Source organism: Homo sapiens, chromosome 15 (genome assembly GCF_000001405.40).
Source record: "Homo sapiens chromosome 15, GRCh38.p14 Primary Assembly".
Lineage (NCBI taxonomy): Eukaryota > Metazoa > Chordata > Mammalia > Primates > Hominidae > Homo > Homo sapiens.
Window position 1 is genome coordinate 55,597,238 of NC_000015.10, and position 26,351 is coordinate 55,623,588.

At 37.8% G+C, this 26,351-nt stretch overlaps 1 protein-coding gene across 2 annotated transcripts in view; it reads right to left on the reverse strand.

Moving 5' to 3' along the window:
• Positions 1–14,306: 14,306 nt before the first annotated feature.
• Positions 14,307–26,351, reverse strand: part of PRTG (protogenin) — a 131,609-nt gene continuing 119,564 nt past the window's right edge. For both annotated transcript variants that reach the window (NM_173814.6, XM_017022081.3), the window contains exons 19-20: positions 23,426–23,530; positions 14,307–23,029 (exon numbers count right to left, since the gene is read on the reverse strand). In NM_173814.6, the coding sequence (NP_776175.2) occupies positions 22,775–23,029; positions 23,426–23,530 (360 nt within the window). In that variant the 3' untranslated portion in view covers positions 14,307–22,774. The remainder of the gene's footprint in view (positions 23,030–23,425; positions 23,531–26,351) is intronic.

Consider the following 26,351-nt stretch of genomic DNA (forward strand, 5'->3'; position numbering starts at 1 on the left):
CAGTGGTGTGAACACAGTTCACTGCAGCCCTGACCTCCTTGGCTCAAGGGCTCCTCTCACCCTAGCTTCCTGAGTAGCTGGGACTACAGGTGTGCACCACCATGCCCTGCTGATTTAAAAAAAAAAAATCCGTAGAGACAGAGTCTCGCCGTGTTTCCCAGGGGGGCGTCTCAAACTCCTGGGCTCAACCAATCTTCCTGCCTTGGCCTCCCGAAGTGTTGGGATTACAGGTGTGAGCCACTGCGCCCAGCCCAAGTCTTCATTTTTCTAGGATAAATGATCAATAATACAATTGCCGGGTCATATGATAAGTCCATTTTTAGTTTTGAAAGGAACTTCCAAACTATTTTCTGGAGTGGAGAGTGCTTTTTTAAAATACACAAATCTCATCATGTCGTTATTTTACATAAAACTCTTCAATGCCTTTCCACTGTGGTATAATTAAGGCTTGATTTTTATTATTTTATTTTATTTCATTTTTTGAGGCAGAGTTTCGCTCTCGTTGCTCAGGCTGGAGTGTAATGGCACGATCTCGGCTCACTGCCACCTCTGCCTCCCGGGTTCAAGTGATTCTCCTGCCTCCCGAGTAGCTGGGATTACAGGCATGTGCCCCATCCCCAGCTAATTTTTTTTTTTTTTTTTGTATTTTTATTAGAGACAGGGCTTCTCCATGTTGGTCAGGCTGGTCTCGAACTCCTGACCTCAGGTGATCTACCCGCCTCGGCCTCCCAAAGTGTTGGGATTACATGCGCGAGCCACCGCGCCCGGCCAAGGCTTGATTTTTAAAAATATATACTGCAAGACTTTAATATAATTTCCACTGATTTCTCCAACCTCATTCTGTACCACTTCCCTTGCTCTTTATGCTCTCTGGCCTTTTAAACTTGTCCTCAATTCATCATTAGTCTCCTGCCACGGTGGCTTTGCTAATGCTGTTTCGTTTTCCTGGGATGCTCTTCTCCCTGCTCTTAGTCTAATTAACTCAAACTCTACCTTTCATTCTTAACTCAAGCATTATTTCCTCAGGGAAACCTCTCTAGTCTAAGTCAGGTTCCTTTTTTCATCTTTCTTTCATCACATCTCTCAGTTTGAAATTATATAGTAATTTCTGTGAATATCTGATTAAACCCTGTCTTCATCTCCAGATTAAAATTCATGTAAGCAAGAATTGTGTTAATTTTTGCTCGTTAATGCCTGGCATGTAGCAGGTGCTCAAAAATATTTTTTGAGTGAATGAATGAATGAATTGTACACTGGAAAATATTTCAGTGCCAAAGCATTCACATTCTATAATTTTATTTATCCATTATTCATTTAATATATATTAACCAGTAATCATGTTCCTGGTAGTTTGCTAAGCAATAGGTTACTATAGACAAATTTCAGATTCACACAAAATGTATATTAATGCATCCTGAAATACATGTTATTTCAGACAAAGACTTTCCAGATAGTTCTACTGCATAAATATTGAAAAATAAATTAATAGGATATTTGTAATTCTTTTAAAATATTAAGGAAGTTTCGCCTGGGCAACATGGTGAGACTCTGTCACTACAAAAAAAAAATTTATTTTATTTATTTATTTTTGGAGACAGAGCCTCACTGTGTCACTCAGGCTGGAGAGAAGTGGTGCCATCTCACCGCACTGCAACCTCCGCCTCCCAGGTTCAAGCGATTCTCCTGCCTCAGCACCCCCAGCAGCTGGGACTACAGGTGCCCGCCACCACGCCCGGCTAATTTTTTGTAGTTTTAGTAGATACGGGGTTTCGCCATGTTCCCCAGGCTGGTCTCGAATTCCTGAGCTCAGGCAATCTGCCCAACTTGGCCTCCCAAAGTGCCGGGATTACAGGCATGAGCCGCTGAGCCCGGCCTAAAAAAATTTTTTAAAAATTAGCCGCGCTTGGTGGTGTGCACCTTTAGTCCCAGCTGCTTGGGAGACTGGGGTGGGAGGACTGCTTGAACCCAGGAAGTCGAGTCTGCAGTGAGCTATGATTGTGCCTCTGCACTCCAGCCTGGGTAACAGAGTGAGAGACCTTGTCTCAATAAAATAAAATAAAAATAAATAAAAATGAAATGAAAATTGAGAAAGTTTACAAGTCAAGAAAGGGACAAACGTAGCTCTCCATCTTGATCACTGTTTGTCATATGGACTTGACATAACCCTCTGCAACCAATAACCAAAGACTTGAGTTTAATATTACCATCATAAGAAGGTCCCTGGTATTTTTTCCTGGGCAGCATGGTTTAAAATATTCATGGTTGCCACATCATATTATAAGGGACATACCTGTAGTGATGCATCTGTCTGTAATCTTTGATCCTAAAGGCTTAGTGAGTCATGTACTTCTTATGTGATAGCTGAAGAAGCCAATATGGCAAAATCATGTGGGATTTTTGCCTTGTTTTGCTCTGTTTTTTACAGCAATGCGAAAAAAAAGGCAGATTTTTTTCGGGATATGAATACTGCCAACATAGGCAGACTGCAACACTGTGGGTTGCCTGAGAAATTTTTTAAGAACGTGGGAATGAGCAAGATGTGTGCATATTTGTGAATGAAACACAGCAAGGCAGGACTACCTAAGAAACATGACAAGTCTTGGTGTTAAAACAACAAACTGTAAATATAGAACATTGGCATTTTATAAAATCTTTTTTTTTCTTTTTTTTTTTTTTTGAGAGAGACTCGCTCTTGTCGCCTAGGCTGGAGTGCAGTGGCGCAATCTCGGCTCACTGCAACCTCTGCCTCCCGGGTTCAAGCGATTCTCCTGCTTCAGCCTCCTGAGTAGCTGGGATTACAAGTGCCCGCCAGCACGCCTGGCTAATTTTTGTACTTTTAGTAGAGAGGGGTTTCGCCATGTTGGTCAGGCTGGGCTCGAACTTCTGACCTCAGGTGATGCGTCCGCCTCAGCCTCCCAAAGTGCTGGGATTACAAGCGTGAGCTACCGTGCCCGGCCTATAAAATCTCTTTTAAAAGACAGAAAATGTGCCAATTTTAAGCCTTTTTGGTTTGTATGTGTGTTTGGAGGGAAAGAGTGGGAACAGGAAGGCAAAACGATGACAACTTTGTACTGTAATATTCCTTTAAGTCTTTCATTTTTTGTACACTTGTGAATTTTATAAAGATATTTTCATACCACAAAATTCACCATTTTAATGTGTATCATTTTGTGTCTAGTATTCTCACTTTTTAGTATATTTTTGTATATTCACAGAGTTGTGTAAACATTACCACTAGCTAATTCCAAACCATCTTAATCACCCCAGAAAGAAACCCTATACTAGTTAGCAGTCACTCCCTCTCTTTTTATTTCCTAGGCTCTGGCAACTACTACTCTCTGTCTCTATGAATTTGCCTATTCTGGACATTTCATTTAATAATAAATGAAATCACATGTAGCCTTTTGCGACTGGCTACTCTGACTTAGAATAATGTTTTCAAGATTCCTCCATGTTCTTTTTTTTTTTTTTTTTTTTTTTTTTTGAGACGGAGTCTCGCTGTGTCACCCAGGTTGGAGTGCAGTGGCGCGATCTCGGCTCACTGCAAGCTCCGCCTCCCGGGTTCACGCCATTCTCCTGCCTCAGCCTCCCAAGTAGCTGGGACTACAGGTGCCTGCCACCACGCCCGGCTAATTTTTTGTCTTTTTAGTGCAGACGGGGTTTCACCGTGCTAGCCAGCATGGTCTCGATCTCCTGACCTCGTGATCCGCCCGCCTCGGCCTCCCAAAGTGCTGGGATTACAGGCGTGAGCTACCGCGCCCGGCCTCCACGTTCTATATGTATTAGTACTTCATTTCTTTTACGGGTCAATAATATTCCGTTGGATAGATATACCAGTACATTAACTTCTTAAATTTTTAAATTTTATTTTCAAACTGACAGAAGAGGTACAAGAAAAATAAAAAGAACTTAAGTGTATCCTTCACTTGGATAAATAAATAAACATTTTGCTTCAATTACTTATTTTTTTGCCTTCTTTGTTTTCCTCCCTGTCTACACACTCACACTTTATTGTTATTATTGCCATTGTTATTATTTTCTGAACAATTTTCTGAACCTTCATGCCTACTTCTAATAATTCAGTGTATATTTCCTAAGAACAAAATAGTCTCTTACACAGTCATAGAACAATAATCAAATTAAGGAAATTTAACACAAGTTAAAATATTTTTATCTAACATGCCGACCATATCTAAATTCATCAATAGTTTGAGTAATGTCCTTGGATGTCAGTTTTTTTCTCCCCGATCAAAGATCCACATTGTATTTAACTGTCATGTTCTTTCTTTCATCTGGAATAGTCCCTCCATCTTCTCTTGTCATTCATGACACTGATATTTTTAGAATACAGGCCTATCGTTATTATAGGGTGACACTCAGCTTGGATTTTTCTGATGTTTTCTCACCATTAGATTAAGGTTGATGCGTTCTAGGCAGGAATAATGCATAATAATGAAGCTTTGTCCTACTCAGCGCACCACATCAGGAGGCACATGATATCCATGTGTTTTATTATTGGTGATGTTAACTTTGATCACTTGGGTAATGTGATGTCCTCTATGTTTCTCTACTGTAAAGTTATCATCACTATAAAATTAATAAGTGCTCTCTGGGAAAAGACTTTGAAACTATGATATATCCCATTCTGCATTAAACTTTCATCCACTATTTTTTTGCATCCTTTGATGATTCCTACCTGAATTAGTTATCAATATTATAGCTGCAAAATGGTCATTTCTAACTCTAGCATTCCTTTTACGTTTCTTATTTGGCATTCTACTTTCTCTTTTTCTCTCTCTATCAGAATGGACGTATGCATTCATTATTTTATTCAGTGGGTTATAATTTATTACTTGTTATTCATTCTGATAATCAGCTTGTTCCAGAATTGGCTAGAAGAAGCCCCTTCAGCTGACGTTGGTGATCTTTTGAACATGTACCATAGTTTCTTGAGCTCTTCCTTACTTTCTGACACAATAAAATGTTCCAGGTTCCAATACTTTTCTCTGTTCCAGCCCTGGAATTAGCAATTTCCCCTAAGGAGTCCTGAGGACTAGTATTTAGAACACAAATTCTGGGTGCTTAGTGTGCTCATTACCACTGCAGCGTCACTAATTATAGGCTTTTTCTGGGAAAAATGACAATTTCATATGGTTCAACTATATATTTATTTATTTATTTACATGTATTTACATGCATATATAATGAATTCATATTATTCAATACATATGAATGCCTCTAATTCCAAATCAGTTGCACATGGTTCTTCCTTACCTTTCACCCTTCCACATTTTTATCTTTCTTCTCCCACAGGGAGAACTCTGGTTCCCAGAGTTCCCATTCTTATTATGGCTTTTGTTATAAACAAAATGTGAAAGGACGTGTTTCATTTCTAATTTCAAAATTATATTAACATTATATGTAAATTATAAGCTTGTGTATACATGCACAGACAATTTGAGAGTATATGGTTATTCATTTAAATGAATTCTGATATTTTTAGAATATCAGAATATCAATATGCTCACACAACTCTGTGAATATACTAGTTAGGCCCCTTACACAAAAGTATCATCCTCATCCCATGTCATTCCACAACTGTGGCTTCATTCTTTTGGATTGTAAAATTGCTTTGGAGTTTAACAGTTATCTATTAAAATGTTAATTACCTAGCTCTAACAGCTTAATAATCAGTTAATATTGAAAGGAATTAGTAGACAGCTTTGTGAGACTGAGCTGGAGGGTACTGAAGGTGAAGAAGGTTGACACAGAGAGAGGTGAGGATTGAAGGTCGTTAGGGAGGGTTGACTAGTACAAATGTTAACTTTTCATAGTTATAAATTTTCTTTTATGCATAAATTGATCATAATACAGGTTGAACATCCCTAATCCAAAAATCTGAAATCCAAAATGCTCAAAAATCTGATACTTGTTGGGTGCTGCCACCACAAGTGGAAAATTTCACACCTCAACTCATGTGATGCGTTGTAGTCAAAATTCAGGTACATAACACAGTTTATTTCTGTAGATAATGTGTTTAAAATATTGTTTACAAGGGCTGGGTGCAGTAGCTCACACCTGTAATCCCAGCACTTTGGGAGGGCAAAGCAGGCAGATCACTTTCACCATGTTGGCCAGACCAGCCTGGCCAACATGGTGAAACCTCGTCTCTACTAAAATACGAAAATTAGCTGGGCGTGGTGGTGCGCACCTGTAATCCCAGCTACTCGGGAGACTGAATCAGGAGAATAACTTGAACCCAGGAGGCGGAGGTTGCAGTGAGCAGAGATTGTGCCACTGCACTCCAGCCTTGGGGACAGAGCAAGACTCCATCTCAAAACAAAACAAAACAAAAAACTCTATACAATTATTGTAGGTCCCATCTCTAAGATCTCTCATTACGTATATGCAAACATTCTAAAAATAAAAAAAAAATCCCAAATTTGAAACGCTTCTGGTCCCAAGCATTTTGGATAGCAGATACTTAACCTGTACGAATAGATATGTCAACACGGGCTATCTCCCTCTTTAAACAGTTCTTCAAATATACCCTTTGATAAAATTTTATACTTTTCTCCATAAAAGTCTCGCATATTTTGTATAATATATTCTTAATTGTTGGTATGGTAAATTGTTGTTGGTATGGTATGGTAAATAATATCTTTTTGATTGTTTGTTGCTGATATATAGTAACTCTGTTACACTTTGTATTTTGATCTTATACCCAACTATCTTTCTTAACACCTCTGTTTGGAATGATAGTTTATCTATTCCTTGGATTTCTGATGTAGACAATCACACTATATGCATGTAATGACAATTCTGTTTCTTCCCTTGTAATTCTACCTACAGACCCATATGATGCCGTCTAGCTTATCCAGTATATTGTTGAATAGGAATGCAACAGCAAGCATCTTAGACTTTACCCTAACTTAAGTATGTTTGCTATAGGTATTTGGTGGATATTTTATCAGGTTAAAATATGTGCTTAGTTTGCCAAGATTTTTCTTTTTTAAAATAATGAATACTGGCCAGGTGCAGTGATTCAAGACTGATAATCCCAGTATTTTGGGAGGCCAAGGTGGGATGATGGCTTGAGCCAAGAGACCAGACTGGGCAACAAAGTGAGACCCCGTCCCTACAAAAAAATTTAAAAATTAGCTGGACATGGTGGTGCGGGCCTGTAGTCCCAACTATCTGGGAGGCTGAGGTGAGAGGATCACTTGAGCCTGGGAGGCAGAGGTTGCAGTGAGCCATCATTGCGCCATTGTACTCCAGTCTGGGCAACAAAGCGAGGTCTTGTTGCACTCCAGTCTGGGCAACAAAGCAAGACCTTGTCTAATAATAATAATAATAGATACTAGTACAATTTTATCAAATTATTTCCTATTTCTATTTATTTATTTGAGACAGAGTCTTGTGTTACCCAGGCTGGAGTGCAATGGCACAATTTCGGCTCACTGCAACCTCTGTCTCCCAGGTTCAAGCCATTCTCCTGCCTCAGCCTCCCAAGTAGCTGGGATTACAGGGTTCCATCACCACGCCCAGCTAATTTTTTGTATTTTTAGTAGAGATGGCATTTCGCCATGTTGGTCAGGCTGGTCTCGAACTCCTGACCTCAAGTGATCCAGCCTCCCAAAGTGCTGGGATTATAGGCATGAGTCACCGTGCCCAGTCCCTACTTCTTTTTAAACATTCATATTGTTTTTATTTATTGGATTACATTAATTAAATTTCTGATGTCAAAACACCCTTTTATTTCCTGGGATAAATAATACTTTCCTTGGGATAAGTAATACTTTATTTCCACATGCTAATATTATATTTAGGACTAATATTGTATTTATGATCATAAGTGAAATTAGTCTATAATTTATCTTTACCGTTTTTTGTCCATTGTTGGTATTAACTGTACCATCTTAAAATAATTTGTTGAGATTTTCTTTCTTTTTCTATTTTTTGTAACAGTTTATATAAAATAGAGAATATTTGTATTTTAAAGATTTGTGATTTGTTAGAAATTGCTGTTAAATGGCCAGGTGCTGTGGCTCATGCTTATAATCCCAGCACTTAGGGAGGCTGAGGTGGGAGGATCGCTTGAGGCCAGGAGCTCAAGACTAGCCTGAGCTAGTCTCTTCTTAAAAGAATAAGATCTTAACAATAACAAGTTTTGAAATTGAGACAGTAATAAATAGCCTACCAACCAAAAAAAGCCCAAGACCAGGTGGCTTCACAGCCGAATTCTACCAGAGGTACAAAGAGGAGCTGGTACCATTCCTTCTTAAACTATTCCAAACTATTGAAAAGGAGGGACTCCTCCCTAACTCATTTTATGAAGCCAGTTTCATCCTGAAGCCAAAACCTGGCAGAGACACAACAAAAAAAGAAAACTTCAGGCCAATATAACTCATGAACATCGCTGAAAATCCTCAATAAAATACTGGCAAACCAAATCCAGCAGCACATCAAAAAGCTTATCCACCATAATCAAGTCGGCTTCATTCCTGGGATGCAAGTCTGGTTGAACATACGCAAATCAAAAAACGTAATCCATCACATAAACAGAACCAAAGACAAAAAACACATGATTATCTCAATAGATGCAGAAAAGGCCTTCGATAAAATTCAACATCACTTCATGTTAAAAACTCTCAATAAAACTAGGTATTGATGGAACGTATCTCAAAATAAGAAGAGCTATTTATGACAAACCCACAGCCAATACCGATTGCAATACCTATTGACTTTTTTTTTTTTGAGACAACTCTGTCGCCCAGGCTGGAGTGCAGTGGCATGATCTCGGCTCACTGCAAGCTCCGCCTCCCGGGTTCATGCCATTCTCCTGCCTCAGCCTCCCGAGTAGCTGGGACTACAGGCGCCCACCACCACATCCGGCTAATGTTTTGTATTTTTAGTAGATAGTTTTTGTATTTTCAATAGATAGTTTTGTATTTTTAGTAGATAGTTTCACCATCTTGGCCAGGCTGGTCTCGATCTCCTGACCTTGTGATCCACTTGCGTCAGCCTCCCAAAGTGCTAGGATTACAGGCATAAGCCACCGTGCCCGGCCTCAATTAGGATAATATTTTTGAGGTCATACATGTTGCAGCATGTATCAGAACTTCATTTCTTTTTATGGCTGAATAATATTCCATTGTATGGATATACCACATTTTGTTTATCCATTAATCTATTTATAAATACCTGAGTTGCTTCTACCTTTTGGTTATTTGTGTATATACCTAAGAGTTGAATTGCTGGGTCATATGGTAAGTATTTATTTACATTTTTGAGGAAACCAAACTGTTTTCCGCTGTGGTACACCATCTTACATTTCCATAAGCAATGTATGTTGGCACATTCTTACCAACACACTTTTCTTTTCTTTTTTAAAAATTATAGCCCTCCTGGTGAATGTGAAATGGTATTTCATTATAGTTTTGTATTTCCCTAATAATTAAGCATGTTGAGCATCTTTTCATTTGTTTATTGGCCATTTGTATATCTTCTTTGAAAAAATTTTAATTCAACTTCTTTGCCCTTTTTTCATTTGGGTTGTTGGTGTTTTTGTTGTTGAGTTTTAGAAGTTCTTTATATACTTAAGATATTAAACCATTATCCTATATGATTTGCTATTTCTCCCATTTTGTAGATTGTCTTCTTTTCTTGATGGTATCATTTCATGCATGTAAGTTTTTAATTTTGATTAAGTCCAATTTATCTTTCTTACTTTGGTTGCTTGTCCTTTTGGTGTCAGATCTTAGAACCCATTGCCACATCTAAGATCATGAAGATTTATCCCTATATTTTCTTCTAAGAGTTTTATGGTTTTAGCTTTTACATTTAGGTGTTGATCCATTTGAGTTAATTTTAGTACATGGTGTGAGGTAGTGGGTCTAACTTCATTCTTTTTTATTTTTTTGATAGAGACAGGGTCTCACTCTGTTGCCCAGGCTGGAGTGCAGTTGTGCAATCATAGCACACTGTAACCTCAAACTCCTGGGCTCAAACAATCCTCCCACCTCAGCCTTCCAAGTAGCTAGGACTACAGGTATGTGCCAGCACATCTGGTCATTTTTGTAAAATGTTTTTGTAGAGAAACGGGTCTTTCTATGTTGCCCAGGCTACTCTTGAACTCCTGGCCTCAAGTGATCCTCCCACCTCAATTAATTTTATTCTTTTGCATGTGAAAATCCAGTTGTCTGGCACCATTTGTTGAAGAAACTGTTATTTCCCCATTGAATAGACTTTACATTCTTGTCAAAAATCAATTGGCCATAGATATGTGGGTTCATTTCTGGTCTCTCAATTCTATTCCATTGGTCTATAGGTCTATCCTGATGCCATTACCACACTGTTTTGATCACTTTATCTCTGTAGTAAGTTTTCAAGTTGGGAAGCGTGAGTTCTCTGACTTTGTTCTTTTTCAAGATTGTTTAGGCTATTTGGGGTCCCTTCCAATTCCATATCAATTTGAGGATTGGCTCTTCTATTTCCATAAAAAAAAAAGCTGTTGGAATTTTGATAGGGATTGCAATGAAATCTTTTTTTTTTGAGATGGAGTCTCACTCTGTCACCCAGGCTGGAGTGCAGTGGTGCGATCTCGGCTCACTGCAAGCTCCGCCTTCTGGGTTCATGTCATCCTCCTGCCTCAGCCTCCCAAGTGCTGGGACTATGGGCGCCCACCACCACGCCTGGCTAGATTTTTGTATTTTTAGTAGGGTCAGGGTTTCACCATGTTAGCCAGGATGGTCTCGATCTCCTGGCCTCGTGATCCGCCTGCCTCAGCCTCCCAAAGTGCTGGGATTACAGGCATGAGCCACCGTGCCCAGCAATGAAATGTCAATACTCTAATGTTTTCCTATACATGAACATAGTATATCTTTCCATTTATTTAAGTCTTTAATTTCTACAGGAATGTTTTGTGGTCTATAGCGTGCAACTTAATCACGTCACTTCACTGGTAAAATTTATGCTTAGGTATTTAATTCTCTTAGATGCTGTTGTAAATGAGATTGCTTTCTTAATTTCCTTTTCAGATTGTTCATTCCAAGTTTATAGAAATGGGACTGAGTTTTGTGTGTTGATCTTGTTCCCTGCAACTTTGTTCAATTCCTGGTCATTATGTTTTAAGTGCATGTATTGTAAACAACCTATAGCAAGATTTTTTTTAATCCAATCTTTAAAGTGGCAGTATTTTACTTTTTTTCGTAACTACAGATATTAATTATACTTTTCCTACCATATTACTTTTTCCTTTTTTCTCGGGATTATTTTTGCTTCTTTAACTTCTTTCCTGTCTTCTATTTTTTTTTTTTTTTTCACTTTTGAGGCAGAGTCTCACTCTGTAATCACCTAGGTTGGAGTGCAATAGTGCAATCTCGGCTCACTGCAACCTCCACCTCTCAGGTTTAAGCAATTCTCCTGCCTCAGCCTCCCGAGTAGCTGGAATTACAGGTGCTCGCCATTATGCCTGGCTAATTTTTGTATTTTTAGTAGAGATGGGGTTTCACCATGTTGGCCAGGCTGATCTCGAACTCCTGAGCTCAAGTGATGTGCCCGCCTCAGCCTCTCAAAGTGCTGGGATTACAGGCATAAGCCTCCATGCCTGTCCCTGCCTCCTTTTTTTTTTTTTTTTTTTTTGATACACAGTCCCACTCTGTCACCCAGGCTGGCGAGCAGTGGCGCAATCTCGGCTCACTGCAACCTCAGCCTCCTGAGTTCAAGTGATTCTCCTGCCTCAGCCTCCCGAGTAGCTGGGACTACAGGTGCACATCACCACACCCTGCTAATTTCTGTATTTTTAGCAGAGATGCGGTTTTGCCATGTTGGCCAGGCTGGTCTTGAACTCCTGACCTCAGGTGATAAGCCCACCTCAGCCTCCCAAAGTGCTGGGATTACAGGTGTGAGCCACCTCGCCCAACCTGGACATTTCTTTTAAATGAAATAATACAATGTGTGGTCTTTATTGACTGAGTTCTTTCACTTAGCATAATGTTTTCAAGATTTATCCACGTCATAGCATATATCGGTACCTTATTCATTTTTATGGCTGAATAATATTTCATTGAGTGGATATACCACACATCATTTGTCCATTTATCAGTCAGTAGGTATTTGGATTGTTCTCATTATTTCAGTACTATGCATATTGCTTCTATGAACTTATGGACAAGTTTTTGTGTGAATATGTTTTCATTTTGCTTGAGTATATATCTAGGAGTAGGATTGCTGGGTCAAATGTTAACTTTGTTTTTGAGAAACTGTTATTTTCCACAGTGGCTTCCCAATTTTTACATCCTACCAGCAACGTATGAGGGTTTTAATTTCTCCACATTCTCACCAGCAGTTACTATCTTTGCTTTTTTTTTTTTTTTTGAGGCAAAGGTCTTGCTCTGTTGCCCAGCCTGGAGTGCAGTGGCACAATCTCAGCTCACTGCAGCCTCTGCCTCCCGAATTTAAGCAATTCTTGTGCCTCAGCCTCTCAAGTAGCTGGGATTACAGGTATATACCACCACGCCCAGCTAATTTTTTGTATTTTCAGTAGACACAGAGTTTTGCCATGTTTGCCAGGCTCGTCTTAAACTCCTGTCCTCAAGTGATCCACCCACCTAAGCCTCCCAAAATGCTGGGATTACAGGCATGAGCCACTGCACCTGGCCTATCTTTTTGATATAGCCATCCTACTGGGTGTGGAGTAGTTATCTCATTTTTTTTGTATTTTTGGCTCTTCATTGCTTCTTCCTTCTCATATCTTCTTTGTGGATTCTATTTCCCTCTTCCTAATGTACATCTTTAATCGTTCACGTACAAGGATGTATTAGTGGTAAATTCTCTTGATCTTCATCCAGAATTATTTAACACTAACACTTAAATAATAATTTATGTTGATACAGAATTCCATATAGCAGCTTTTTTCCCTTGTGATGTTTTGAAGATATTATCACACCATTTTCTTGGTTTTTTTTTTTTTTTTTTTTTTTTTTGAGACAGAGTCTTGCTCTGTTGCCCAGGCTGGAGTGCAGTGGCTTGATCTTGGCTCATTGCAAGCTCTGCCTCCCAAATTCAAGCAATTCTCCTGCCTCAGCCTCCCAAGTAGCTGGGACTACAGGAGCGCACCACCATGCCCAGCTAATTTTTGTGTCTTCAGTAGAGACGGGGTTTCACCATGTTGGCCAGGTTGGTCTTGAACTCCTGACCTCATGATCTGCCCACCTCAGCCTCCCAAAGTGCTGGGATTAGAGGTGTGAGCCACCGCGCCTGGCCCACTTTCTTGCTTCTTTTATTGCCAATAAGAAATTTTCTTAGTGCGATCTATATAAATTTTTTTTTTTGTCTAGCTACCTTTAAGTTCTTACCTTGTCTTTCTTGTTCTACAGTTTCACTATAATGTGGCTTGGTATAGACTTACTTTTGTATTTCTACACTGAGGTTTGTGCTTCCTAAATCTGAGGAGGTATGGCTTTCATCATGTAGTAATTTTCCCTATGAATATGACTTGTTCTTCATTCTCTTTAGTCTTTCATTTTAAAACAGCTGTCTTAGATCTTTTTATCTGTTTTATATTCTCCATGTTTCTCTCTGTGTGCTGCATTCTAGCTAATTTCCTCATAGCTATCTTCCAGTTTTAGAATATTCTTTGGCTGTTTGATAAATTAAGAGTTTCAAAAATTCAAAAATTGTATTTTTTTATTTCTGGAAATTCCATTCATTTATTTTTCTAACTTACTTTTTATGTAGTTTTTCCCTTCTCATGTTTCAATTCCTTCTTTGATGCTCTCCGCAGTCATCAGAAAATCATTTCAAAATGTTACTGCTCTGTTTTTCAGTCCCCATTTCATTCTCAATCCTAGAGATTTTTTTTTAAAAAAATAAGAATTCAACTAGGTTAAAAAGAAACTTTTTTGGGTTATATTTTATCTGTTATTTCTAGATGGTTTCAGTGGGAAGATTTTCAGGATTTTCTTACCATTTTAAAATTTTAATACTAAAAAAAAATTTATCCTGATTTAGAATTGTGCCTATCAGAGCAAGTCCATACCTTTTGGGCTACCTACTGTTTAACCCCTGAAGTGAGCAACCATCTACTGGGATGGGAACATTGTTATTTCCTTGTTGTTATTAAATAGTGAATGTCAGATGAAAGCAATTCTTAGATACCTTAAATAGGTTCTATTCCTACTTCTTGGAGTGGATTCTATAGTCATCCCAACCCATGATGTGAAAGCCAACCTCCTATAAATGGAAAATTTTCATTCTCTATTCCCCCAAAAGAAAACTGAAGAATAAAAGAAAACATGGGTTTGTCTTTTTTAACTAAGGAAAGCTTTTATTTAAATTGTGCAATCAATCAGTATTTAGACAGCAGTTTCATAAACATTTTGGCATTTAAACTTTTATTCATTTTTGGCATGACCTATAGGGTAGTATATAAACTACCCAGTGGGGTGGGGGCAAGTACTAAGCAATATTTACTATGATACTAGAAAAAAAAAAACAAATCTACATTATTAAACAAATATGTTTTAAGAAGACATTAAAAAGATACATTCAAAATCAAGGCAAACATTTGCTTTCTTCGTGCAATGGCATTCACAGAACTGATCCCCTGAGTCAAGTATAAAATTAATATAGCTCAGCTCTACAGTCCATTAGCAAGTCTACAAATGCTGCCCTTACAAGAAAATGGTATACGGAGTGAAAGGATCCAGAACACCCATAATACAAAATAATTTAACTGGCTCCCACACTTTCATTTAATTCACATCTTTGAAGAAAATAGAAAAAAAAAAATCATACACACAGACATAAAATTTTGTCCAACAACAGCAACAAGCAGACACATTTTCTTAACATATGTCCTCTACTCTACTGATAGGCTAAGGCAATGTGTGTGTATTCAGGCTTTGCAATTTCCTATTAACAGGCTCAAGTTGCTAATCATCAGTAATAATTTTCATTTGCAAACAAAATAGATATCCAGAATGTGATAACAGGAAACAGAATATTTCAAGGTCAAGATTTGTAATATTTTTGTTTTTAAAGACAGTTCCATAGAAAAAATAAACTTCTGTAACATAAATTTTTTTTCAGTTGTAAGTCAAGACTATGTCTATATACCATGAACTACTTACAAGCTATGAACTTAAGGAAATCTGCAAAGCTGTTCAGAATAGTATATGGATAAGAAAAAAGGGAAAATATTTCCTCTAAAAAAAGAAGCCAATCATATAATTCTTCCCAACAAACCCTACATATGAACTCGAATAAACCAGAATCAGGTGCCAGTATGTGTTGCCCTATATAAAATGCATTCATTTGGAATAGTTTGCAGAAATATTAAAATACTCCATAATCTTGAAAAAGATCTTTTAGAGAAAAATCCTAAATATGTACTTTTCTCCTCACCCATCTATCCTGCTGGACAGATCTGATTCTCTCTTTAACTCTTTAAAAGCCAATATATATATATATATATATATATATATATATATATATATATATATATATATGACTTAAATTGGAGTAAGATGACTTCAAATTTAGTACTTTGAAAGTACAGTCAATTCCCATTTTCTCTTATGATTTTATCCACCTAACATATGAGTGTTTCCATTTCAGCTATATCTTTTACCAACCACTTTCTTCTATTGGTTTTGTGTATGCGTACGGGAGATGCAAACATTTTTCATTTCAACAAAGGCAAAATATAATTGCAAAGGCTGACTTGAAAAGAAAGAGTCTGTAAAATCTTTCACAGCCTCATACAAATGAGTTTCAGATTATGATTATTTACACTTGAATTTTCTCTTAAGTTTTCAAAGTACTATTGTTTCATTTTGCACAAAAAAATTATCCTCATTTCATGGATGGAGAAGGCACAGAAACAGTTTAAGAATTTTTGTACCAAACGATTCTCAAAATTGTCAAGATTAGAACTTAGGTGCTCCAAAGCCTAACTTATACTTGTTCTGTTTTATGACTCTCCGTTAACTTTGCTGTCTCCTACATTAATGCAAATAATAAATTAGTTTATATTCATAAAAAATCATGAACTCTTCAGACCTAACAAGAAAGGATTACTGTTTACACACCTGACTTTTTCAAGTCAATGAATTCCTGTTTGGAATATGGGAGCTACAGAAAATTACAAAAGATAAAATGCAATTCTGAAGACATTGTCGAATAAGGAAATGCTTGACTAGAAAAGGACTCTAGAAACCATGCCTACCTTATTTGTAATGTAACTCTAAGTACAAACAGCCTTCAGACACAATTTTAGCTGAGATAAATGGAAGGTTTTGGAGGAGAGAAATTAGGAGATGATAAGGGATGAGTTACAGCCGCCTTAATCCCTCCTGTGAATAAGTGGATTTAAATAAGGTAGTCTTCTCTTTTTCGATTGGTTATTACTCTGTAGAAAGGTTGTTCTGACACAACCTGGCTTTTGTGGATACAAGGAAAAAACAGTTGTATCTGGTCACACTATGGAAGGCACTATGACCCTGGGTGATTAAATACCTTTTTTTTTTTTTTTTTTTTTTAAGCTGAGACAATGTATCATAGTCCTATACACTTCTGAGTAAGGATTAACTAACTAGGGTTTGTATCTTGCCTAAACCACTCACTAGCTGTGACTTTTGGCAAGAGATCAGGAAGCTGTTCCTAATCCCTAAAATGCGGATAATACTTGCTTTACAGAATGTAGCAGCAGTTTGCAGAGATGAACCATGTGCTTGGCACACTGTAGATGCTCAACAAATGGCATCATATTACTTCCTAGAGTCGGGAGAAGTTGTAAAATGACCAGCTTTCTTATGCTTACTCGGAGTATTATTCTGGCCTTTCTCATAATGGAGACAGCTTTATCGATTTAGTTGAAGAAATGCTGAAAATTGGGGTGGAATTAGACATTATGTTTTAAAGTTCAAAGAGGGCCAGACTTGCGATGATCCAGAAATTAGAAGAAACTAGAGCTTTGAGAACCAGGAAAAGGCCGATTGGAACCAAAAAAGAATGACAAGAAAGATCAAATTTCCTAGGAAATGTATATACATGCTGATGGCATAAGGAGAGGCTCTTGCTGAGAAGGATGGGGAATGTGAGGGTTAATAAAACTGAAAAGCATTCAGTGGCTTGGTGAAGCTGAAGAGAGGAACCAGATTTAAAGGCAGAAAGTTGTGAATGTTGTGAATATGTCATTAAAAGAAAACAAAGAATAAACTTGAGCATGGTCCTGTTCATCACTCTGAGTTCCTGTGTTTTGAGGTCTTCCCCCAACTCTTCCCCAGCAACATAACCACTGAAGAGAAAAGGAGAAAGGGTAACTATAAGAAGAGTTTTCAATTCTTTTTCTGAATAAATTCCATAAAGTTAGACGCAAATATTTAGGACACTTGCTGATAAACATGAGATGTTATTTTATGAAGCACATATTCAGAAACTTTAAAGATAAATTGTTTCACAAGTATTTTGGAGAGAAAGTTTAGTGTATAATTTTGGTAGGCTACAAGTCAAAGTTTTCATGCTTTTAATCTTTAAAGATCCCCAAGGGGCACATGACCTCAGATTTCCAATCTCTTTAATGCTACAGACATTTTACAGGGATCAGAATTCCACAGAAAGAATGTACCTGTTGTGGGCAAAATACTGGCCACCTACAGAAGTCCATGCCCAAATCCCTGGAACCAGTGAATATGTTACCAAACATAGCAAAAGGAACTCTGTAGATGTGATTAAGTTGAGGAACTTCAGTTGGGGAGATTATCCTGGATTATTTAGGTGGGCTCAATGTGATCACTGGAATCCTTAAACCTAGATAACCTGTATCAGCTGGGGTTGGACAAAGAGAAATGATAACGGAAGGAGCTTCAGAGAGATGCTACATGGCTGGCTTTGAAGATGGAAGGAGGGGTTCCCAGCCTTAAAAAACTAGAAAAGGAAATAGATTTTTCCCTAAAGCCTCAAAAAGAAACAGCCCTGCAAGCGCCTTGATTTTGTCCCAGGGAGACCTGTGTTAGACTTCTGATCTGCAGAACTTAAGAAAAATTTGTGTTATTTTAAGCCACCACCTTCATGGTAATGTGTTACAGCAGCAATAGGAAAAATAATACAGTATCTGGTAAAAATACAAGACTGTCATGTTAATCTTAAACACCATCAACGGCTTAAAAAGGGAAATTGAGAAGATTAAAGCCTGAAACATACACATTGCATTAGCCTGTGATCTTATGTCCTGAGCATAAATCAACTTAACACAGAACTCTACGGTTACATTCTTCTAAACATCAATAAAAAAATCACAATTAGACAACTGGTTGTATATGGTAGTCTCCAGAACCTGCTACTCAGTGCTCACAAACTGCAAAGATTATTTTGACTATTAAACCAACAGAATCTTATCAGAGACCCATGTGGCAAATGGTCAGGAAGAAAGTCTGCAAAACACATGTGCAGTCTTAGTGACTGTTTCAATATAACTGGAGTTTTTTTTTTACATTCAGTATTCAAAATTTACATTCAGTGAAACAGAAATGTATATAAGTGAACCACTATAGCTACTGCTGAAGTGAAACCACATCTGGGTATTCTTGCATTAAAAAATAAATGATATTTTCAATTCCAAATTCTTGTGACACGATCTGAATTGTTTTCAAAGGTGTCTGCATAAGAACTTGAACAATGATCCTGGGTTGTCAACCACGAGCACATTTCTGGCAGAAGTCCTTAACAAAGCCAAGACAAACTGATGCAAACCTCTGTCATTGTTCCCAATGTTGGCATTGCTCGTTTCAAGCACAGACAAAAGTATAGCATGTGACACTAAGAATCTAATTTCTTTGGTATGGCAAAACTGATTTTTAAAAGTCACTTAATGGATAAAGCTGTATTTTTACTTTTAGGCTAATCAAAATATAAAACCCCAGATTTCATTAAAAATTTTTTCCCTTTACCCAAGGTTCCATTAAAGTTTGAAAACTGAGCTCCTTTGGTGCAATGCAAACATTTCAATTTAACAACTCTAAATTCCAATCTCACACCTTTAAAGAGCACATCTATCAAAGCATAGCCCACTTAAAGAATGACATGATTTGTTTGCCTCTTACATCCTTAGAGATGAAAAGCATCCCTATTATTAAGGGACTGCCTCAAGCCGTCTGAGCTAACCAGGTAATGCTTAAAGCAGGAAGAGAACTATACAGGCTAATTCAGAGGTACCATAATACTCTGCAACATAAAAGCTTGCTGATATTTCTGTTGACATTTCACACTCAAGGTGCTTTGGAAAGTATCACATCATTTGGCAAAAACATCATGTGGCTGAATCACAGATTAAATGGAAAGTCCTCATGCATGTTATTTGTATACAGACTGTGTTCCGAAGAGACATGTTTGGTTTAACATAAAAACAAGAAACAACAGTTTAATGTACAACTATATTTGCCTATATGCGGAGGTAACCTTAAATATCTTTGGTTTTTTTCTTTTTAATTTGCTGATAAAAAGTACTTGAATAAAAACACTGATAAATACCAATATAATTGTATTGCTTTTAATTATGTAAACTTAGCCCTTTGATATTTTTTGCTACTAAAGCTAGATTCTCTATCGGCCTCTAAATAAATTTATTTCAAATCTGCTCATCTTTACTTACTTACAGGCTAACCTATACATCTTAATGGTCTTTGGTATGAAAATACTGATGAGCAGTATCTTGTAATATTTGGCATAAAAATGACATGCAGGTATCAGTACTTACAGCAAATACATCTTTGGAAAAGAAAATAGTTACCATTTGCATATTAGCCCCTTTGAAGTACAATACCATGAAGTAATACCACTATGAAAAATGAGTGAAAATCTTCACATTTTAATTACAATTTCATACTTAAGACTTCAAAGAAGCTTGATTTGGTCAAGTAAAAAGAAGTCTTTGCTGTATTACTAAATATCTTATTCAATGAGACCAAAGTATTTATTTTTGGTAAAAAAAAAAAATTTTCTCTCCAACAAGTAGTTTCAACAATATAAAAATACTTTAATACTGTATAGTTGAAGATTTACTTGCTGAAGAAAAAACTATACCTGAAATTCTTTGGAACGATCTGCTGGTAAAGAAAGTATTACAACTTATTTTAAATGCTCTGGTAACAATAAGGTAGTTAACATTACTAATCTATTTAACTACAACAATCAATATAAACCCTATTGTTTTGGGTTAGTAACTACTTGTGTAAGTTTCATATCTATAAATGCTTCTAGTTAATTCAATTTGGGGGGAATTATAATCAAAATTTTATTTTCTACTGAAAATTCTTTGGTAACAGAATTATTATGAAAAAGTCCGTATAAGAACAAAATGAAAAGGTAAAAAATGTACTGTTAAATAATTATCAAATAGTTATAGCCTAAAGTTCTATTGTAACTATAAGCCTATTCATCAAAAACCAAACAAACAAAATACTTTCCTCAAGGACTTTAGCTCGTCTTTTTAGCCATTTAAAACCACTCGAATTCATGTAGTCCTAGACACATCTTCCATAACCATGATGGATGATGTTTCAGCTTTAGATTTTGTTTGCCTTTTAATGAAAGCTTAAAAATAAAATGATCTCACTGTACTTAATTTTAGATACTGATAAAAGTTGGCCCTATATACTTCTACTTACCAACCACAAAGCGCTATACCCTGTCAATCTGCCTATGCTTCCATGAGGCAGCTCAAAAGTAACAAAACGTTCCCTGAGTACAGGAAAAAAAATAACACTAGAATAACTTTAAAAGGAGGTAGTATAAAACAGGAGCTATAAAGGCAGGAGCAGCATTTTTCCTTGCTGCAGACTGTTCACCTAAAGCTCTGCTTTTTTGTTTGTTTTGCGATGAATTCCGTACTTAGATAACTAACTGGGGGACTCTGAGTTTAGTTCAGAAGTGGTTGCTGGCATTGAACTTTAGTCTTAATCACATCCAGTTTGGCACAAAATTACAGATTTAAAAAAATTAAAAATGTTATATCTACAGTCATTAGACTAGCAGATGATGCTGGGACTATTATCTGCTAATATTCCTTTGATTTTAGAACATCAGTGAACATGACCCTGCCTCCTCTAGGAACAAAGCATTTCAAGTGTAAACCCATTATGATTCCTTTTAAAATGAGAATCAAAAGTCACTTCCAGAAAATTTGAAAAAATACTTTTAAAAGGATATGGGACCCCTTCTCTACACGCGTTTAGTTCTTTATCCTCTCCCACTGCTCGGCACCTAGGTAACTGTCTCATGACGGAGAAAAGGCCTATGTTATGTAGCTGAGTAAACAATTTGCTGATTTCAAACCTGCAAGAGGATTAACTCACTCCTGGAGTTAGCATTCCTCATTCACAGCACTGACACTGAAGGAAGATTAAGTAGATACCATATTCTCTAAAGAATTCAAGAAAACACAAGTAGGGTGGTAGAACTCTGAATATTTATCCCTAAACAAAACCTGCACTTAAAAAAAATGCCTTGGTAAGATACTATACATCAAAATAGTTACTGATAAAATCCAAGAAACTCTTAAGGCAACTTTTTGTACTCCTGTTCCTAAACAATTTCATGAATATTAAAAAGGTATAAGGCAAAGAATTTCATTATACTGAAAGGCACTGTTACCATAATAACTTCGAGTTCATTTTACTGTCTACTGTTGCATTTACCTTCATTCTTAATAGTTCATGAAATGTCTTCACTCCTTTAAGCCAAACTGGGATTTAAAAAAAGAAAAAAAACCACCTTAACCCATTTTCTTTAAAAATCCATATTCTGCATGGGGTTTTGCAACTAATACTGGCAAAGTTGAGGATGCTTTGCAAACTAGACAGTGCAGCCTTTGGCCAACCGTCAGGCAAAGGGGAAGGTAGAAAAGGCACAGTTCTGGGCAGCTTGAGGTTTGGGATATAGGAGATAAAGCACTCAGACTCTAATGCCCAAAACATAAAGGCCTTTTAAGCAAAATGATCCCTACCTGGTATTGAATAGTTCTGTTCTCAAAAGAAATATACTTTCTTGTTTTGGTCATCGTTAGAAGAAATAGCCCCACTTTTCCTCTTCTCAGTGGTTTAACGGTCCTCACAGCCAGAGGTATGAACTTATCCAAACCATGCAGATGTCATAGTTTCTTTTTTTAAAAAAATCAGAGCTTCAGATAAACATTCTTACTCATCTACCTATATGACTCCTTTGATCACACACATTACACGTACAGCAATGAAAACACAATACTACTAGGAAGTATCATTGGTTATGTAGCTGAGATAAACTATAACAACAAATGAGGTAACAAAGTTGTCTTCAGAGTTTGCCGGGAGGCAAACTGAGGTAGATAGTCAGCAAAGGGGCTTTCAAAAGTCTTCCCTTTGCTCCAGTGATATATTTTATAATCCAGTCAAACATCTCGACCGTTCTTTCACATTGCTGACAATGAAACATTCAAATTACACAAGTTTAAAAATAAAAAACAAAACACATTCAAAAAAAGCTAAAATACCCCATAAAGATATTAAGATTTTCACAAAAGGCTTTGGTTCCCTGTTCATTGTCCTTCGAACAGATTTAATGGTGAGAATACCTGAGCATGGCCGTCTAGATTGGAAAATCATTTTTATCAAAGCATAGCATGGCAGATGGCGGCTGCAGAACTAAGGAGGAAGTCTGCTCACTAACAGATGACACAGCAGGGTCTTCACACTTCCTCAATGCGGAATCTCCACCTGAATCACTGCCAGTGAAAGAATCAGAGGTTGGGGGGTGTGGTACTTATAACTGAGGACAGATGTATCTCATCGTTGGACTCATGAGAAAACCGCCCAGAATCCCCAGTCTCATGGCTGCCTTCACTATTTGCTGAATGTTCTGTATCAGCTGCAACACCAAAGGGTCTTGAGAAGCTGGTTGTCTGACCTGGGGAGCTAGGGGAGTCTTCATCACTGATTAATACAGTGGTGCCTGGCTGGTAAAAGCAGACCGCTGGAGTAAATCTTCTTTGAGGCTAGGCAAAAAAAGATAAGATGGCAATGAGATACCAGACTGATCGAATCCACGAGCAAAAGCTCATCAGGTCCCCACAGACAGGTGGGAGCACATCAGAATTACCCGTGGCAAGCGAAGTGTCAAAAGCTTCTTCAGTGCTTCTGATGCACGCTCCTGCTCCTATCCCTTACCTCACTGACCCTACTCCCCACTGAAAACCACAGCTCTGATGACTATTCCAACTTCTGTTATCATTCACCTCGCTCTCCACAGAGCCATGCCCCAAATTAATAAAATCACAGCCATGAAGAACACAGAAAATTAAAATAAAGCATGAATTCACATTTTCCTCTTTTTAAATCATCATTTCATATATCACGCATTGCCAAAAATTTTTCTCATTTAGATAGGTTACCTGCTCAACTTGTATCTTCTTTGAGTCTTGGAAAAAAAACCACTTTTTCTTAGAGTTGTTTTTAATTATAGGACCATAGCTATTAATTATCAGGTCAGTTCCTCCCTGAGGAAATAAAAGAGGGGAAATGTAAAATATCCTGGTATCACAGATTTCACTTTATCACAAGTAGTGCATACTTTAACTTTTACTATATGCTTCACATTTCCCTTTTCATTTTTATTTTATTTTAGATTCAGGGAGTACATGTGCATGTTTGTTACATGAGTGGGGTACATATTGTGTGGTAGTGGGGACTGGGCTTCTAATGTACTCATTACCCAAATAGTAAGCATTAGTACACAAAATGCTTAAATGTTAACAAAAATGATCATAGATGTGATCATTTCTTCTTTAAAACAGGCAGTACGGCTGGGCACAGTGACTCACACCTGTAACCCCAGCACTTTGGGAGGGCAAGGTGGGTGGATCATGAGGTCAGGAATTCAAGGCCAGCCTGGCCAAGATGGTGAAACCCCGTCTCTACTAAAAATACAAAAATTAGCCAGGCGTGGTGGCAGGCGCCTGTAATCCCAGCTCCTCAGGAGGCTGAGGCAGAGAACTGCTTGAACCCAGGAGGGAGAGGTTGCAGTGAGCTGAGATCAAGCCACTGCACTCCAGCCTGGGCAACAGAGCAAGGCTCCGTCTCAAAAAAAACAAAACAAAACAAAATAGGCCAGGTACGGTGGCTCACGCCTGTAATCCCAGTACTTTGAGAGGCTGAGGCGGGCGGATCATGAGGTCAGGAGATCTAGACCATCCTGGCTAACACAGTGAAATCCCGTCTCTACTAAAAATACAAAAAAAATTAGCTGGGCATGGTAGCGTGCGCTTCTAGTTCCAGCTGCTGGGGAGGCTGAGGCAGGAGAATGGTGTGAACCCGGGGCCGAGATCGCGCCACTGCACTCCAGCCTGGGTAACATAGCAAGACTCTGTCTCAAAAAAACAAAACAAGACAAAACAAAACAAACAAACACAAAACAGGTAGTACAACATAGTCAAGGTATTTGTTAGTGGTCAAAACAATATAATAGGTTTATTTTTAAGCTTATACATAAAATATATATTCCAAAACACATTAAGATACATATATATGTGCTATATATTCCAAAACTTATTTTCAAATGGTATAGCAAGCAAAAAGTATATAAAGATACAAAACTATGATATTAACAATTATTAATTTGTATATTCAGTACATTATTCTCTCAACTTTTCTGTATGTTTGAAAATTTTAAAAAGCAGATGAGGATAAACAAACCATAATGAACCCACATATGATCAACAAAATGACATTAGATGGAGTATCAACTCTAGGGCTAACCCAAGGGAATTAAGAGAGATACTCTCCAAATGTGTCTCTCTCCTTCACTTCAGGCCTCTACCTCTCTGCTCCTTTCACTTTAGTTTCTTTTTTTCCCTACATCATCCTCCCCACTCTGCTTCTCTCCTAACCTCTCTCATATCTACTTCCAAACTAGTAATAATACAATCACAGTTACATATTAGTACTTGTTTTTTTTTTTTTTTTTTTGAGACAGAGTCTCGTTCTTGTTGCCCAGGCTGGAGAATATGGCGCGATCTCGGCTCATTGCAACCTCTGCCACCTGGGTTCAAGCAACTCTCCTGCCTCAGCCTCCCGAGTAGCTGGGATTACAGGCATGCATCATCACACCCAGCTAATTTTTTTTTTTTTTTTTTTGAGACAGTCTCGCTCTGTCACCCAGGTTGGATTGTAGTGGTGCAATCTCAGCTCACTGCAAGCTCTGCCTCCCGGGTTCACACCATTCTTCTGCCTCAGTCTCCCAAGTAGCTGGGACTACAGGCGCCTACTACCATGACCGGCTAATTTTTTTTTTTTTTAAATTTTTAGTAGAGACGGGGTTTCACCATGTTAGCTAGGATGGTCTCGATCTCCTGACCTCGTGATCCGCCCGCCTTGGTCTCCCAAAGCGCTGGGATTACAGGCGTGAGCCACCGCGCCCGGCCACACCTGGCTAATTTTTGTATTTTTAGTAGAGCTGGGGTTTCTCCATGTTGGTCAGGCTGGTCTCGAACTCCCGACCTCAGGTGATACACCCACCTTGGCCTCCCAAAGTGCTGGAATTACAGGCGTGAACCACCGCACTTGGCCTGTATCAGTACTTTTTAAGCTCATTTAAAAGTTTTAGGTTCTAATGTTTTAGATCAATTTGAAATAAGTTGAATGGCTTAATTTGTATTGAAAAGTAAAACCTAAATTAGGCTGCAAACAAAAAAAAGAGAAATAGCAAATATTCATTTATTCATATTTACCTATAATATGTATTGTATACAATGCTGTACTAGATACAAGTAAATTACATCTGTTGAATATAATTCATAAAATTTAGTATCAAAACTGCCTGAAATTTTGTTATACTTCTGTTATTCTAAATTTTAGGAAAGGATAAAGGAAAAATAATTTATAACAGGGTTTGGCAAACTTTTTCTGTAGAGGGCCAGATCGTAACTATTTTAGGCTTTGCAGGCCACATATGGCCTGTGTCCTATCATCATCATCTTGGATTTTTTTTTGTAAACAACCTTTAAAAATGTAAAAAACAGCTGGGCACGGTGGCTCACACCTGTAATCCCAGCACTTTGGGAGGCCAAGGCGGGCAGATCATCTGAGGTCAGTAGTTCGAGACCAGCCTGACCAACACGGTGAAACCCCATCTCTACTAAAAATACAAAATTAGTCAGGCATGGTGGCGCACGCCTGTAATCCCGGCTACTCGGGAGGCTGAGGCAGGAGAATCGCTCGAACCGGGAGGTGGAGGTCACAGTGAGCCGAGATCGTACCACTGCACTCCAGCCTGGGCAACAAGACTGAAACTCCATCTTAAAAAAAAAGTAAAAAACAGTC